General features: G+C 35.1%; 1 protein-coding gene and 1 long non-coding RNA gene across 8 annotated transcripts in view; one reads left to right on the top strand and one right to left on the bottom strand.

The window, feature by feature from the left end:
- GRIK2 (glutamate ionotropic receptor kainate type subunit 2) overlaps positions 1-18,489 on the bottom strand; it is a 676,376-nt gene that overhangs the window by 598,862 nt on the left and 59,025 nt on the right. The window lies entirely within an intron of this gene.
- Positions 17,022-18,305, top strand: LOC101927388 (uncharacterized). Its single transcript, XR_245565.4, has 2 exons — positions 17,022-17,139; positions 17,943-18,305. It is a non-coding gene; the product is annotated as an uncharacterized LOC101927388 (long non-coding RNA).

The following is an 18,489-nucleotide window of genomic DNA, read 5'->3' as shown; positions in this document are numbered from 1 at the left end:
CAGAGAATATAAAGGAATTGTCCAAAGTCACCTATTAGTGCAGTCACTGAAAAGAGCCTAGATTTGAATGTGGATTTTCTGATGTCAAGTCCAGGACTCTTTCTGATGTGTATGCAAATAAAAAATGTTAGTTACACATTAAGAGAAAAAAGTGAAAATGTGGAACTGATAAAACCATAGTTATTATTTTGCATAATGACACAAAAAGAATATCAAAAGGTAAGAATATTTATATTTGAGTTATTATATTCAACTTAATACTTGTCCTCAAATGCATACTGGTATTTATAACATCATGGTTGTACTATAGATCATGCAGTCCACTAAATGTTTTCAAATGTATACATTCCATGTAGAATATTTGCTATTTCGTTGTGAAAAGTTAGCTAAAAATTTGATGGATTGTTTTCTCTACATTTTTCTTGCATTGATGATTTCTAGCATTGATTATAATATCAATGTGTCAGAGGGTAGTGAATAGGGCATTTCCTGTTTCTAAGAAATTGGTGGCAGCTTACAGACTGAGGACAAAGACTCACAAAGTCTGAGTATAATGATCCTCCTGCAGGGCTTGAACCATCACCCTACTCTTCCCCCATCCCCAGGATATAAAAGGAGAGAGCTAGGAAGGAAGAGAGAGAGTTTTCAGAATCAGCCTAGTGAGAAGGCTTCTGAAAAAAGAAAGAAAAATTATCACATTGAAGGATTCGCTCAGAAGAGGAGACAGGCATTTCGCTTCTCATTTGGAGATCTGCTTTGGCAACAAACTTACTGATTCTCCCACTACATAACTGAGCAAAGAAATTGGAAAGAGATGTCATACTGAAGCAACAGAGGCCACAATAAAGAAGCTTGCCCTCTCACCAATTGCCATGGCAAGAATATAAGAGTGTCTCTCAGGGAAAGTGAAAGAAAGCCAACTCAAGTCAGCTAGAACTCTACCAAAAGCTATCCACCATTAAGGAGATCCCAGAAACTAGGGGTTGTGGAGCTGCTAACGTGGGTAGTCCAGAGTACTGCTTCAGTTCCGGTGAAGCCACTGGGACAAAATTCACTGGAAATATTTGAAAAGAGTTTGGGTGGTCATCTTTCAGAAAGGTTGAAGGAAGTTTCACATCCAGCCAGTTGTCTTTTGTCAAGGGACTGTCCAATAGGAAGGCCCCACAGAGCCACTTAAGAACTTGTATGTGCCCCACACCAGATACATAGAGGGAATCAGCTCCCAGGTAGTAGAAGCCAAAAAATCATTGACCAACAACAGAAAGAACTAAAAAAGCTATGACATAAGTGGAGAGGGCTCCTGCCCTCACCTCTTGCTTTTCCACAACAGAGAGGACCCAAGTCTTGAAGAGAAAGAAAGAGGACTATTTAGATGAAGATTAAATCCCCAACATCTGTATCACTTCATGAAATCACGCCCCACTTCCCTCAGGCCTGCAATTCAGGGATGGCACAGGATAAAATAGAAGTGAGATATTAAACTGGATGGCTTTTAGGAATTAAAGTGACTGTAAAGTTATAGAATCTGTTCAGGATATTATTAAACGAAGAAAAGGGAATACTCAATACAGCAAGGGTTAAAACATTGACTGGAGAAGAATGAGGCCAGTTAGAGTTTTATATCCCACCATGTACTAAATTTATACAGGTAAATTAAACTGCCTTTACAAATGTTTAACTCATTGATTTTAAACATTAGAAAACAAGTAAATATTAGATATCAATGATATCATTTCATCATCAGGAATAACAGAAATTCTATTTGGACAGTATATTAATTTAAACGGGCCCAGTGGGTTAACATTTTCTAGAAGAAAGAAGAAAAGAAATCATATTGTCTATTTTAAATAATTTCCTTTCACTAGCATGGGTCTTGTATTAAGGAGTGTGGGAAAGGTAGCTGTCTTCTCTTGCATGCCAGTAACAGTTTTTCCTTTTTTTCATTTGCATGTTTTAATTTTACAATAAATAGTATCTTACGTGTGAAAATAGTTTAGATCATTGATCCAGATCAGTTACTCTAAAAATATTAGCTCTGATATTTTTGAACAAACCACCTTGTTTTCTCTATTGTGGGTTTGTAACCACACAATTTTCTAGTTGGTGGATATTAAAGAATACATAGTGAACTCCTCATTCAGGCTGAGAATCTTCCCTTCAACCTTTCTGAAAGATGACCACCCAAACTCTTTTTTAATATTTCTGGTGGATGCTGTCCCAATGTCTTCACTAGAACTGAAGCAGTATTCTGGGATACTCATTTTTCAACCTTTGGGTCTGCATTCACTGTTGTCCAACAAAATGAATATAAGTGATATGTGTTGGTACGACAAGTGGGAGAGGGCAGGTAGAAGGAAGGAGTACATAGGAAGACATGGTGTTATTATCATGAGGAACCTTATAACATATATTGAAGTTTTCTCTCTTGATTAGATTTTAAGTAAACTATTACTTCATTCTGTGGTTTACTGGATTATCATGGCTTAAGAAAAACTCCTATATCTTGTTAAGTTATACTAGGATCCAGTAAGGCCAGTTGTACAGGAAAATGTGACCTATATCGTACCCGTTTCAAAGAGGAATGGTTCTTGTAACTATTTCAAAAGCACTTCAAAAGCAAACTAAAAACTACAAGAGGCAACCATCCACATTTTACAAGTCCTTGGCCTAGAACAACATTTTCAACTTTTTTTTTTTAACCTAACTAAAATCTGCCTGGAATTTCCATTGTAATTCCTATGGATAACTGCTAAAGCTTTTGGTCCATGCCAAAGTGAAAACATACTATAAAAAGACATGCCAGCTAACTGGAATTGAAACTTAGATTTCTATCTGCTCTAGTCCCCTAGTATAAACTCTTTAAAAAACTGAATGTTTTCATGTGAAGATAAGCATTAGTGAAAGAATGAAAAGTAAAACTGAACTGATGAGCCCTCTCCACTTACCTCATTGCTGTTATAGTTCTTTCTGTGGGTGGTTAATGATTTTTTGGCTACCACTACCTGGGACCTGATCCCCTCTGTGTAGCTGGTGTGGGACACATGCAAGTTCCTAAGAGGCTCTGTGGGTCCTTCCCACTGGGCAGTCCCTTGGCAAAAGACATCTGGCTGGATGTGATTTCTTCCTCTATCTCACATTAGCTCTGCCTGAGGCAGTTCCATAGCTCCTACTTTCTGGGATCTCCTTAATGATGGATAGGTCTGTTGGGTAGAGTGCTGGCAGACTTGAAGTGGCTCTCTTCTCGTGCCCTGAGAGACACTCCTACATCCTTGCCAGATTAAAAAAAAAAATATATCGTGGGCATGCAAAAAATGAAACCTCAAAAAAAAAAAAATAAGGAAGGACTATGAAAGCAGCCCACACTGGGTATTTATAAATGAAATAAAATCTAGATTGCTTTTCATTATAGAGGTTCTATATGTGTATTCATCATGTGAACTGAAGTGTAGCATAAGTTTGTATGTAGATGTTTCACTGTATTGCTGAACTTGAATAATACAAGAAGGTGGGAATAGAGTAGATAGACATCTTAAAATATAATCACTCGGAGTGTAAAAAATATTTCCCTGTAAGTGTTCTAACACAAATTTTTGCCCTCTTTTCTTCCCACTATAGCAGTAACAGCAATATTGAATAATGGAAGGTCGAGCTCTGGGTTTGCTATTAAAAATAAGAATGAAAGACTTTAGCTTACCTTAAGCTTGCATTTGAATCATTGTGCATTTTTACCAGGCTACATAGAGGCTCTGGAAACTTTGTCTCAGATCCAAACCTTGAAAGCTTTGTATCTTTTATAAAATCTCTGATTATATTAATGAAACTATTCCTAATTGGCTTATCTATGTTACTTTAGCATCTGGCAGTTTTACAGACTTGACTAAAAATATATGTTTTAAAGCCTACTACTGTATAATTAAATGAAAGTTTGGCTTTATTCAAAAATGCAAATGAATTCTTGGCTTTTTCTCTTATTCACTTTTAAATTATTTATATGTAGTCCCCATTCATAGTGCTTTCTCTGGTCCAGAAATTATTCAATTTCAACAAATTTCCAACTGGTTTAAAATTTTACAAAGAAAATGGCTTTAAATTATACAATAAAAACATACTTCTGTTGCTGGAAAAGGGTATAAAATATGTCTTGTGGTATGAGATTGGCCAAACCAAAAATGAATGAATAGACATTTCATTTTCTTGTGTCATCTAAGACAGCTACTATCATGTATATTAGCGGGTGCTTAGATCAAATCTCAGAAGAAAGAAAATTATTTTTACAAGTTATTTAAAAGCAATAAATGAACACCTTTAAAATTCATCCATCCTTTAAGTCTCATCAGTCACAAAGTAAATGTTTATAATTCCATACTTTATATAGACAACAACAAACATTTCTAGATTTCAACCTTCATCATCTGCAGGAGTTTCCTGCTAAAACTCTTGAAAGCACACAAACTCCTTCAAAATACATCAGAGCTTTTGTGGTTGCCTGAAATTGCTGATGCCTCTTTTCCTCTCCATAAAGGTTGACATCTGGAGAAAGTTATTTATATCCTGAAAAAAGAATGAATGAAAGACGATATATGCTACATGACAAATGTGAACACAGAAAAAGCTTTTTTTTTTTTTTAGAAAAAAGCAGCCTTTTAAAGAGTGCCAGCTTTGTTGTTAATATTTCGAAGTAGCTAACAAATATGTTTTCACTAATGCAAAAATAGTTTTATTTACACAGCAACTGACTACTAATTGTGAAGTAAATATATGCTACAAGGAATCTCCTATTGAGTGTTGGTCATTCGTAAGGCTGTTCAGCTCATTGAAATGTTCCTGACAATAGTAATATAACAATATTAATCAAGTTATGAAAATGTCACAAATTACATATTAGCTTTTTATTTATATATAATAAAAAATAAAATAGAATTATATTAATGAATATTATATCAAATCTCATGCATTCATAAACTATAACTGTGCTTCTTGGAGGTGAATAAAATTAAATTAACACATAATTTTAGTTTCAGTGGAAGAATGAAGTTTAAGGAGTTTCAAGGTGAAGAGACCATGACCCAGAAAGAAACACTTTGACGTTGCCACAACACTGGCAATGACAGAAGGAAATATTTTGGAAACAACTGAATAAGTGTGAACCATATCAGCCTAGAGTGTCAATGACAACAACATTGACTGGAGGCCAAGACTTAAATAAAACTGTCTTTGATTGATTGTTGTTCTTGTTCTTGTTTTTCAGCTCATGTGGGAAGACAATCTTACCTCATGCTTTTAGACATTGCCTCCCTCTAGTCAAAACAGCACTCAACCCCCATAAGACTTGAATTAACTTAATCTTATTCTCCAAATTAAAGATAATTTTCTTTCTCAGAAATGCTGCTAAGTACTTGACCTGACTGGAATCTCATTATATGTGGATTGCCTTGATTTAAATAAATAACATCGGTGTCCCGCTTGATGTGTCTCAGCTAGAAGAGTAATATTTTTGCAACTGCAAAGGTTTTAGGAGAGTCTTGTCAGTGTGGTACCTGGGCCTTTTAACTTCAGATCATCTAGGCAGCTCAACAAGAATGGAGAGCCCTGGATTTCACCGCAGATCTACTGGGTGAGACTCTCTAAATCTGAGGTCTAAAAACATACTTCTATAATAAGTTCTCCACAATAACAAAGATATGGAATTAACCTAAATGTCTATCATGGGTGATTGGATTAAGAAAGTGGAACATACATACAACAGAATACTATTCAGCCATTTAAAAAAATGAAAACATGTTTTTTGCAGCAACATGGATGGGACTGGAGGCCATTATCTCCAGTGAAAAAACTCAGAAACAGAAGGTGAAATACCACGTTCTCACTTGTAACTGGGAGCTAAATGATATATATACATGGACATCAAGTGTGGAATAATAGAAATTGGAGACTTGGAAGGATGGGAAGGTTTGAGGGGGAAGAGATGAGAAATTACTTAATGGGTACAATGTATATTATTTGGGTGATGGTTAGACTAAAAGCTCAGACTTCACTCCTACACGATATATTCATGTAATACAACTATACTTGTACCCGTTATGTGTATAAATTAAAAATAAATAAAAATTAAGAGTCAGCAGGCAAAAAAAATTATCCAAGGAAAGTCAAGATCCTTCGCTTTCAGATATTATCCTGTTAGCCATATTGCATTTTTTGGAACTATTAAAGGGAGTGGTGCAGATGATAAAATAGTGAAGGAAGAGCTCAGGAGTCCTGTTATCAAGATTGACTTAGAAAGAATATTAATCTAATTCAATTCCCCCATATACTTAGTCTCTGCCAGGTATAAGCCCTTTAAAAGGCCTATGCTGTTCTTCCTCGAAAAATCCACCACAAAGTCTTTTTTATAAGAATGTTTGGGGCCGGGCACGGTGGCTCACGCCTGTATTCCCAGCACTTTGGGAGGCTGAGGCGGGCAGATCACGAGGTCAGGAGATTGAGGCCATCCTGGCTAACACGGTGAAACCCTGTCTCTACTAAAAATACAAAAACAAAATTAGCCAGGCATGGTGGCGAGTGCCTGTAGTCCCAGCTATTCGGGAGGCTGAGGCGGGAGAATGGCGTGAACCCGAGAGGCGGAGCTTGCAGCGAGCCGAGATGGTGCCACTGCACTCCAGCCTGGCGACAGAGTGAGACTCTGTCTCAAAAAAAAAAAAAAAAAAAAAAAAAAAAAAAAAAAAAAGAAAGAAAAAGAAAAGGTAAAAATTATAATGAAGCACAATGCAGTGACTTATAATGACAGGCAAAGTTTATGCCTCCACCACTGCAATTGGCTCCTGCTCAGGAGGGACTATAAAAAATGCCTAAAATATGAAGTAGAAAGTAGTTTTATTAATCATACTTTCTTCAACCTGCTTCATGCACCTCTGCTGTACATCACTAACTGAATGCTATCATTGCCAAAGCCATGGACCCTCTCCTTAGGCTGAGCTTGTGTAGGATATCTAATCTTCCAGATATTCTGCGTTTTGCTAGTTGCCTTGATTGCTAGCTTCGAAACCTGTGCTGCTGCTCTGTTCCACATGTGCTCTTTGGTTATTCTTATTCATACACACTTCATGTAAGTGAGTTTCAAGTAATAAAAACAATATGCAGCAAAAATAGAGGGTATTGTAATCAAGTAATTCGAGGAAAGGTTATGTATCTTATATATTTTTTCTTTTGGAGATTTACTAGTCACACTATGCATTGAAGGACCAGGGAATTCTTGCAGTAAGGAAAAATCTATAATATATTATAATCCACCCTCGCAGACATACCCAGGAACAATACTTTGCATCCTTTAATCCAATAAAGTTGACACTCAGTATTAACCATCACACAAAGTGAAATTTTTTTTTTTTTAATTACCAATACGATGTTCACTAGTGCTCCTCAAAATTGATCTTGGGAAATACTACTTTCCATGCATGTTGGAGTCTCTTTGCCTTGTGTCAATGATCTGATTCTACCTGTGTGATAGATATTAGAGCCCTGGAGTCATCCTTGGATAGAGGCAACGTCTTGGAGGTGTCTGCCAGGAAACAGGTGTACATAAAGTGGTTTACTGAGAAAGAATTATGGCATTTTAAATCGTTTTATTAAAATTGATTTTAAGAACTTCCCCAAAAGACCAGGCAGTATGTTGCCACAATCCAACTGAGTTATCTAGTTTGATGTAAAGACAAGCAATGTGTTAATAAAATACACATTGGAATAAAAATACAATTTATATTCTTCCTATTTCAGTTCCTTTCATTCCAACCATTATGTCTAGCATCAAGACAGTCAATAACTCTCTTGATTAGAAAACCAAAATTACTTTTTTCACCATAGATTTCTCTAAAGAAATAATAACAACCATTGCAATCATAAGGCATTTATTAAGTAATATTGTGCTAAACAAATATTATTCAAAGATATTTAGGTATAGACTACAGTTTCTTTTTTTAACTCATACTTTTTGTGTGTCTTGCAGACTATGGATACTGTCTCTAAAACACTGCCTGTAAAATGTCTCTATGCTATTATATAATGTTAGCAGAATATTGTTTAAAATAATTTGTCATATTGCTCCACTTAATTCAAATTTCAAGCAAAACACTTTGATAGATGATTTGTCAAAAAGATAAGTGTCTGAAATCTTTAAGATGGCTAACCATTGATTTATGGTGTTTTAATGCATCAATAAAAATATATATAGGCTTTTTAAACACAAGAATCTTCAACATTATATCTCTTCCTTACATAAGAAAGATTTTTCTCAGCATAACTCAGATGTTCCAATTTGATGGAAGTATTCTTTCCTAGCAGACCTACTCAGCAGTCATCTAAATCCATTCCCTCCTTTCACTAAACCCCACCCTCGACCCAGTTTCAGGATTCCATGTGGGATGTTTATCTGTTTATCTCATGTGGGATGAGCAATCAGGGCTGAATGTTACCAGTTCCCTTGGACAGCAGCCCTGCTTTTCTGCACACCATCTCTCATTTCTTCATTCGCAGTTTACTTGGGCTACATTCTCTAAAAATTTGCTACAAACACAGGCACAGGCCTGACTTTAACTCCCAGGAGCACAGATAAAAGCAGATCAGTGTGTGTAATGATACTAATAGGAAATCTAATTTTTAAGATGTCCTTGTACCTATAATTTTTTTAAGAAAAATAACATTTTATACTATAAAACAGAGAAATTGTGTCCCCCAAATCTTCCTGGTCTTTTTTAGAGTAGTATCTTGACTCTATTTTTGCTGAAAGAAAAAGCTCAGTGACATTTTCTCCAAAACCAAAGGGACATTCTGCCCTATTAAGTGAATTCAACCTTCTCCTGAGAAACAGAAAATATGCTGTCAACTTTAAAATAACCATTTCTTATAACACTCCCCATGGTCAGTCATCAATTTTTAAAAACTGCTTGGGTCTATGTTCAGATGGAGCACATTGCTATATCAGAAAAATATGTATTGAGGGACACCGGCGCAGTCAGTAGCAATGTATAGTTCTACCATAATCATATATAACTCTTATACAGTGTTAGGCCCTAATAATTCTAACCAAACAACACATTAACATATTAACATTTAACACCCTGAAAGAGGTATATTAGTGTCTCTATTTCACTTGAGCAAAATTAAGCACAGATAGGTTACATAAATTCCCCAAGATCACATTAAAGTATACGAAACTAGGTAAATCAGAACTGAGATTGAAAACCAGGCAGCCTTGTGAATCAATTCTCAGCTTCGTATGTCTTAAGAATAGCTAGGAATGTCAGGGAATATAACACTCCAACATGCTGGTTTTGTAGAATAACTATTAGAAGTGGCAAGAATTGGGCTTTAGGACGTATAAAACAAAGTTTTTCTCAGTTCTTTTCTTTATCCCAATTTAACCCAACTGATATTTTCCTGAAAATCCCTAATGAGTGCTGGTAATGGAGAGCTTATGTTAAACTCAGTTTTTTCAGCCTGGGGTAGGCAGAAAAATGGCCTCCCAAATATGTTCACGTCTTAATCCCTGGAACCTGTGAATATGTTACCTTACATAATAAAAGGAATATTGCAGATGTGATCAAGAGTTAAGCCTGAAAATGTGGAAACCATCATGGATTATCTGGACAGTTCCATCTAATCAAATGAATCCTTAAGAGTGAAGAACTTTTCCTGGCTGAATCAGAGAAATGCAATGCGAGAACTAGACTGGCCACTATTGGTTTTGAAGATAGAGGAAGTGGGCCATAAGGTAAGGAATGTGGTGGCATCTAGAACCTTGGAACAACCTTTAGCTGCAAACAACAAGTAACTAGGATATCAATACTACAACCACGATGAACAGAATGCCACTAACAACTAGAATAAGCAGAAAACATTATCTCCCCAAGAGTCTCTCAAAGGAATGCAGTCCTGATTATACCTTAATTTTACCCCTGTGAGACCTGTACCCAACTTCTGACCTACAGAACAGCAAGATAAATTTGTGTTGTTTTAAACCATTAAGTTGCAGTAATTGTTATATCAGCAAAAGAAAACTAACATGTGCACCCAGAAGCAACATTTGTAAATGTCCACATGGTTTCATCTCCAGTATTTAGCAACTAGGAAATTAGTTGACTCTTCTGTTTTAATTAAAGAATATTAAAAGAATTATCACTTTATCTCCACAGTGTATCATCCTGTTATCTTCCTTTCTAATTGGTGATGTCTACGATAATAACAGACACATTGATACTAAAAGTATGCTGTTAAAATACTTATATTTTACCTCTAACTTTCATCACAAAATGACCACCTACATAAATTTCATTATAAGGAGTCAATTTGTTATTAAACCAAAATTTAAAAGACAGATGACTTTTCATCAAAGAAAAAAAATGACTGATTGTGAATGTCCTCTGCTTTCCCTCAGGCTTCTAAGGACACAAAATTTGATGTTAGAGAGCCCATGTTTAATTCTTGCAGGTGTCCTTCCAGAGAAAATTAAGGAAATGCATAGTGAAAATTGAAGATTCTCTATATGGAGATAACCCCCTACTGTTCAAAGATTGAATGCAAATTTCTCCAGGATGAGGTTGCAAATATCTATCTATTCAAAATAAGCCAAAGTGTTAATGTGCTGTATCACTCTTACTATAATAGAAAAGTAATCCAAACTGCAAAGGACTATTCTAGCCAATTTGCAACAGTTCCTGTTAATGATAAGAATGCATGTTGCCACAAATTAGATTTTCAACTTGTGTTACATTACCAATACAAGTTTATTTTAAGGTCTACTCATCTATTTAAGAAGAAACAAACTTCCCAATTCAGAAATAACACCTAGTATCTATATAATTTTATCAGAATGTGGTACACTGACTCTTAGATTTATAAAAGTTACTCTAGAGGGATACTTTTTCTCCTTTGAACATTTGTCCTTGTGTAAACAGACCTAAATGGCCCCAGAGAAAATACAATGACACACTGCTTGAGAGATTTGAGGAGTGAAAAGCTGGGGAAAAGCCAGAAAAGTTTTCACAAGGGAGGTGATACTCAACTGTGGCTTTGACACTGTCGTGGCACAACTAGACACTGGGGAGAGAAAAAAGGGAGTAACAGGAGAAGCAGAGGCAGAATTTGGAAGTTGTGGATAAGAGCAACAGATGTGCGGCCGGGCACGGTGGCTCATGCCTATAATCCCAGCACATCGAGAGGCCGAGGTGGGCAGACCACCTAAGATTGGAAGTTCGAGACCAGCCTGACCAAAGTGGTGAAACCCTGTCTCTACTGCAAATACAAAAAATTAGCTGGGCGTGGTGGTGGGCGCCTGTAATCCCAGCTACTTGAGAAGCTGAGGCAGGAGAATCGCTTGAACCCGGGAGGCAGAGTGCCATTGCACTCCAGCCTGGGCAACAAGAGTCGAACTCTGTCTAAAAAAAAAAAAAGCAAGAGATGTGTAATTTCTATGGTCCAGAGCAGAGTACAATAAAATGAGGTATGCATGAGGACACTCTAGAGTGAGCCTTTATATTTCGGTACTCATTCGTTAGCCACCATGAATGGTCCAATATTGTTGAAAAAATGTTAACCTAGAACTTCCTATAAAGTTGAGGGTTTTTTTTCTTTGTTCATTTATTTGTTAGTTTGTTTGCATAGTTAAGGTCAACCTCTAGGAAGAATCACCACTACCATTTCCAAGTAAGCTGTACCTTCTAAAAAAATGCGTAGCTTCTGTCTATGACTAGAACTATACTGTGAATATGCTAACAAAGACTGGGAAAGCAATCTCAGTAAGAGTATATTATGATGGATTTCCTTAAGATGCATGGCAAATATATTTGTGCCTTATAAATGGAAGACTAAATGGTTTCTTCACATCAGAAATTGTAATATATGGCTATTACTCTTTTTTGTCTTTGGACTGAGTCTAACATGTTTTAAAATGACAACATTCAAAGGTTCAATTCAATTTAGGTAATCATCAGAAATGTCAGCTGTCTTTCAAAGGACCTTTGGAATCTGCCAAATTAGGCTAGAAATCATGCATGGATAGTTTTCATTACATGTGAGCTGACACTTTCTGCTTCTGGTCAAGAAAACCACATTAAAAAAAAAAAATGGTGTTCTGGGGACCTTAGCTTTAGCGCCTAAATAACACAGAAGCAGAAAGCAGCAGAGAATTTTTCCCCCATTATTACTCCAACTTTTTTCAAAACAAAAATTTGGATGCATCAAATTTTTGTGGTTTCTGAAAATATTGAAGTCACAGAAATTTGCGGTCATAATCACAAAAAAGATTCAATCACAGTTTGAACACTTTTACTTTTTAAATTAATACAAGCCATATTCTCATGGATTAAAAGTCAGTTTAAAATCAAGAAATCTTTGGCCTCATGAAATGAGAGGTCCTATGTTTTGAGAAAAATTTGACATGGTAATACCTACTCCATGTGGATAAATGAGTTCTTCACGAGGAGCCCAATTCATAGGAATTGGCCAATGTACCCCCTTCTTGCTGAAGAGGCTGCCGTCCTAGTACCAGATACGATTGTCTAGCAGAGGTGGACTGGGTTTGCCAGCACTCTTTTGTGCCAGGCAGATAATATGGAAAAGATCCTGACCCCAGATGGAGTTTTGTATCTGCAGTGCCTAGAACACAGACTGAGTCAGTGAATGTCAGTTACATCAAAGCCTCTCAATCAGTGCACCATTGGAGGCTGCACTGCAGGAGGCTGGGACAGCCCCAGCCCTGGGCCAGCAGCCAGACTCCTTCAGTTTATCTAAGCAGGCCATGGGAATCTGATTAATTTCTGTATACCAAAATTTGAAAAATATTTGGAGCACTAAATTAAAAGAATGTGTATTCCCATCAAAGAAATATCTAACAAACTGGTCAAAAAGAGATTGGTTCATGGCTTTTCACAAACATATTGTGATGAAATAAGTCAGTTGCATAAAATTCTTAAAATAATAATATGGATAATACTTTTTTAATGTGAGGATTTTTCTGGAAATGTCCTTTAAAAAAAAAAGATCCCTTCTCAGAAGGAAAAAATATATATAATATGCAACAAAAATATTTTAATCCAGCATCATAGCAATAATAAACTATCTACTACTTACAGAACACAAATCTATCTCATAATATTTTTCAAATATGCACAGTGTGTTTTCATGAGAATACTTATTTTTCAACAAGTCTTTAAAAATGATGGCTTAAGTGCTTTTGCTTTCTGCTTTTTAAAGTAATTTACTTTCCAAGTCTAAATATAATATTTTATCATTTTAAATAAAATTATTATGGAAAGATTTAATGGTTTTAAATCTACTGTAAAATATTTTCCTGACACATTGAATGATCCTTACCTTTGCTTTCAGAGTAGTAGCCACAGGATTCTGTGGCATCTAGGGAGTGACTGTTTAATCAAGCATGGCTACTTGTAATTTCTAATTCCAGGTCAACCTTGTTTGAAAGAAAATTCAAAGAAGTAAACTGTGAAGCACCAAAACTGTAAATTTTAATGTAGTTAAAATCCTAAATTCAATAAAAGAAGATGAAAGGACCCACTACAGCTTTTAGCAAATAAGTATAATTTCAATAGGCTATAGATTATATTTAGAGAGCAAAAATGAACATTTATTTTTAGAAGTGAAAAAGTCAAAATGATAATTAAAGCAGGTTTAGCCATGAAAAAAATTAAATATTCCATCAGAACAAAATGTGGATAGACTATCTTGGCCAATAAAGATTACATACGGATGTGAAAAAAAATTGCTGAAATCTCAGGTATGTCAAGTGCCATACTATTAATTTGCATTTGGTATCATCCTGTCATAATTTTCAAAAGCAATTACACCACTAAATGCACATGAAAGATAACAAGCTTTGTAATCAATAAGTGACCTCAAGAGAGGTGCAAATTTATCAACATATGCTTATTCCTCACCAAGTTTACCATACCCTCTTACAATTACCTAGTTTATAATATTGATGTTGATATTAAAATTATGTACACAGGGAAAAACAGACACACTGAATTTGTTCATAAATTCCTATGCAATGGCTTGATTACTGACAGTTACATATCTGCAGCTTAACAAGCATGTCATTTTTACTTATAGTCATAGCTTTGCCTAAGCATAAGCATATATGCAAAAGGCCATGGTGTTCCTTTTAGAATTGTTTAGGAATCAATCCAATGATTCAACTAAACAAAATAAGACTTTTTGCTATGGCATACTTAAGTTGAGCAACTAACTTCACTCTGTTTAGGCAGCCTCCCAAAGAATCCAGAAATAATTATCTGTACTCTAGATTTGTCCTCTAGTATTGCTTGTCTTGATATGACTCTATCTAGGAAAATCATACTTTTTCTTGCCTAACTAAAATAAGTCTGAAAATATTTAAAACTCTTAATATTTAGATAAAAATGCACACAGCTACAAATGAAAAGTCTTAATGCAATAATCCAAGATGTATAAAATAGGAACTAAAGAACATAGCTTACATTCTTTTTTAAACTCTATGGTTTTTTTTTCCAAATTAAGCTTGTATTCACACACAAAAGCATACCTGCACATATACCAAATACACATTTGAAGTTCAGTTGAATAATGTTATTTTAATTCTTTCAACAAAACTTTTTGAGCATTTACTTATGTGCCATGTATTATTTTGTAGGTACAATGGATATAGAAAATGTTTATTTCAGATAATTACTGGTTGTTTTACTAAATTACTACTCTCCTTTTCAGAATTTGATTTTCAGGACAACTCTCACTAGTGGACACCATGGCCCTCCTCTCCTCACTCCCTACCTCCAAGTAGCTTCCTAGATAAACAATATTCAGCCAAGCAACATTGAATGTAAATCATCCCAAGGAAAATATTCCTCCTCAAATTGAAAATGTGTGAGTACCTAATTCTGCATTTCACTTAAGCATTTCAGACCTAATTTCTGGGTCCTAGGACTTCATAATATTTTTTCTTATTATTTCAAGGCCATATGTCACCAAAATTATAATGTTAGTGAAGTTTTCCATTAGAGTTTTCTTACATGCACATATGCCTTTCAGCATCCTTCTCTTTTTTTAAAAAAAAAAAAAAATCTGTCCCAATTCCTGCTAATGTCCAACAACTTAAAGGTAACCAGGACCCCCAAGACCTGCCCATTATTAGAAGCTTTTTGTGTTCCAGATCAAGTTCATGAATCAAACATGCCATGTTAGCTTTTTGAGTTTTTACCTCTCAATTCTGGAAAAACTACTAGCTGTTTAATTCAATTATATAATAAGCAGAACTTGTGCTTATGGAAATGTAATTCTGGTTCTGATGACATCTACCATCGGAGATACTATAGTACAATCAGATCCCATTCAGCCATAAAACAAGTTATCTCATTGAGTCATAAATACCGTTATTTTCTCTCCTACTAAACCTGATTACTAAATCTGTAACATATTTAAATAGAGACTCAACATTAATCTGGTTTTATGTCATGTTCATATGATGTTTCCCAAATCAAACCGTTATCTACCTATATTACCCAAGTAAATGTACCACTAAATAAAAATACAGAAAAATTACTGGACACTCAATTTATAAGGACTCCCCGAAATAGTCACTTTTTTTTTTAAATTAACTTGGGAAGTATATTTCTAACCTAGGTCTAATGATTTTAAGGCATGGCTCCTATAACACTATTAATAATGTAGCCTGCTCCATGGCATTCTAGAAGCAGGGTGATAGGAACAATTCAGCAAAGAATTGAGGAAACTAGAAAATAAGTTTAAAAAGGTTATCATCCCACTCCCAACCCCAATATCCTTAGAAGAATTTTTCCCTCTTCCCACTCTAGTCACTTAAGAAGCATTGTTTTGAATTATGGCATTTTGCTTGGAGAGAGGAGACTCAATATACAACATATTGCTAAACTCATAAGAAAAAAATAGAACCAACATTTCAAAACACATTACCCACTTTTAATTTCTTCTCTTTTATATGCACAAAATGCTGTAGCAAAAACAAATTAGTCCACTTAGCCAGAAAGTCAGTTTCCTTTCCCTGCCTCAGCCTGCCATGCCCACTAATCCCCATGACCCACTACCCTTATACATACAGACTCCCCAAAATAATAGTTTTCGTCCTGTTATAACCAAATCCAGTAGGTAAAATGTAGAAGATTTTATAAATTATTGAGTCTTAAAAATTATTTCAAACTGCTGGTAAAATTCAGGATTATGTTTTTTAAAACATTAAAGAAACAACACTGTTAAAGGTAATACATTGCTGCATACAAAATTTGTGAATACTTGGGTATGTGAATTTTGTAAATGTTCATGGAAAATGTCTGAAAATCTTGAAAATCTACCAGGCTTATACCAATAAGCTTAAGTTCCTTCTCTTAGCAGAGCACTGAAACCAATGCTCATGTAATCCTCGCAGGCTCTCCCCAGTAAGATTTATGCCTCACTGAAGCAAAAAACAACTTTATGGTTTCCCACAGAGAAAGCTATTGGAACTTTTCTCAAACACTACAACATATAGAGCAGAATTCAGTAAAAGCTAATGGTTTGGACTGACCAAAGGTTTAGTTTTAGAAATAAAAAAAATCTCAGTATAGGACAAGCAGTCTCATGGCTGGACCTATTGCTATAACCAGTTAATCTCCTATGTTGAAATCTGAGCATTTAACTGAAGGGCATAAAACAGCACCTGTGACTTGAGACCGCTGAACTGGCTTAATGGGTTCTTCCCCTGACGGGAAGGTCTAGCATGTTTGTCTATACTCATGGGAGGGGCAGGAGTGAAACAGTGGCAATTCTCACTGGTATCTCATAAATTTATATTGAATTGCTCAGACTGCTTTGAAAATGCTCCATGCCATAAATCATAGATCATTCTAGTATCACTAGAATCTATGATTATAAACAAAGAGCTTTTGGAATTCTGGAATTTAAACATTCTGAATAGTTTATTTGTCTTGACGGAAAGTAAAAAGAACAAACTTGTTTTATACAAAATCAGATGCTCCAAATGGTCAGTTGATGATGATACCAATCAAAGAAAACTAAGGAGGAAGAAAAAGAAAACAGGAAAGAGAGGAGGCAACAGGAAAATCGGCCTTCTTCCTTCAGTCTACGGTAGGAATAACTCAATTGTCCCCCTTCTTCAAAGGGTGTGAATTCAGCTTCTCCTTCTTTACTTCCTTTGTTTCGTGTAACGGTTATTGGTGTTGGGCTTTTCTGGGTTATTCCCTTTTTTATATCTTATGCTTTGTTCAAACAATTGGGAATCCTCAAAGTCTGTCACTGGAAATTAAGAGCATGTTTTATATAGAATTTAGCAATTCTACATTTTGAAGAAACATGCCAATGAAGTAGGCGTTAAAAATAATATAACAAAATATATTGTATATGTGATAAAAGGGTGCTTACAAAATCACGGTACAGACATAAAGCACATGAAATCTGATAGTCTACATACTTCATAACGTTACATCCTGGGGTCATTTCCAATTGACATTTCAAGAAAAGGTTACATTCATATTGCCCTAGTGACTGAAAAATCACAAAAAAGTTAAGAATTTAAATGTATCACTACTAATAAGACGGTGGAAACTTTTCCTTATTAAACTAGGTTAGCGCTATCAATTTAAAGTATATTTCTGACAGTTCAAGCACATTTTTTGGCCATGTAACACGTCTGCAAATCTTAAATGGTTTCACATTTCTCTAAACCGTAATAAGAGCATAACATGAATATTTAAGCAGCTTAGCTTTGATATAAATATATTTGTTCAGGATATGCTGGCAGCAACCCAAAATGTAGTGTAATACCCTCAAAGCTGGCAATTCCAAACTCATTTAAGAAAGCAGATAATATAGGCTGGCAGCATTAAAGCAAATAAAGTCAATTAATTTTTTTCTTAATTTGTTTCCTCTAGCTTGAAATTGCCAGGGATGGATAAATCTGAAGATGAATGAAAAAAAGAAACTACTGGGAACGGAACAGAAACAAAAAAAAAGGATGGGAAATCTGAAGCTGCTATTTCTTATTCTGATCTTAATAGCAGGATACAGTTGAATAATAACATTATCTATTGGAGATCACTGAAATGTAGGGAGGGAATTCCATTTTGAAAACTTTAATATGTAGAGAGTCAATACATCATTTTCACAAGCAATATCCTTAGAAGAAAGGATTTTTTTTAGAACTATCATGCTACAGAAAACTGCATTTTTATAGTAACTGAAAGATGCAAAGTTACTGAAAAAATAAAACTGCCATTTTATTGTATTGCCATTAATCACATGGTTTGAATTTTGATTACTTGTAGAGACTGAGACTATTAAATGGTGGAATATTTCTATGGACAACATTCAGATAGTATTCTCAATGCTTCACTACTCCCTTAACCCATTTTGGTGTACTTTAGAAATGTAATACTGTCGTTGTTGGGTTTTTTTTAAAACACAAGAAAGCAATAAACA

Source organism: Homo sapiens, chromosome 6 (genome assembly GCF_000001405.40).
Source record: "Homo sapiens chromosome 6, GRCh38.p14 Primary Assembly".
NCBI classification, from domain to species: Eukaryota; Metazoa; Chordata; class Mammalia; order Primates; family Hominidae; genus Homo; species Homo sapiens.
Note: the sequence above shows the minus strand (reverse complement) of the source record. Positions and strands in the feature narration are given on the sequence as shown.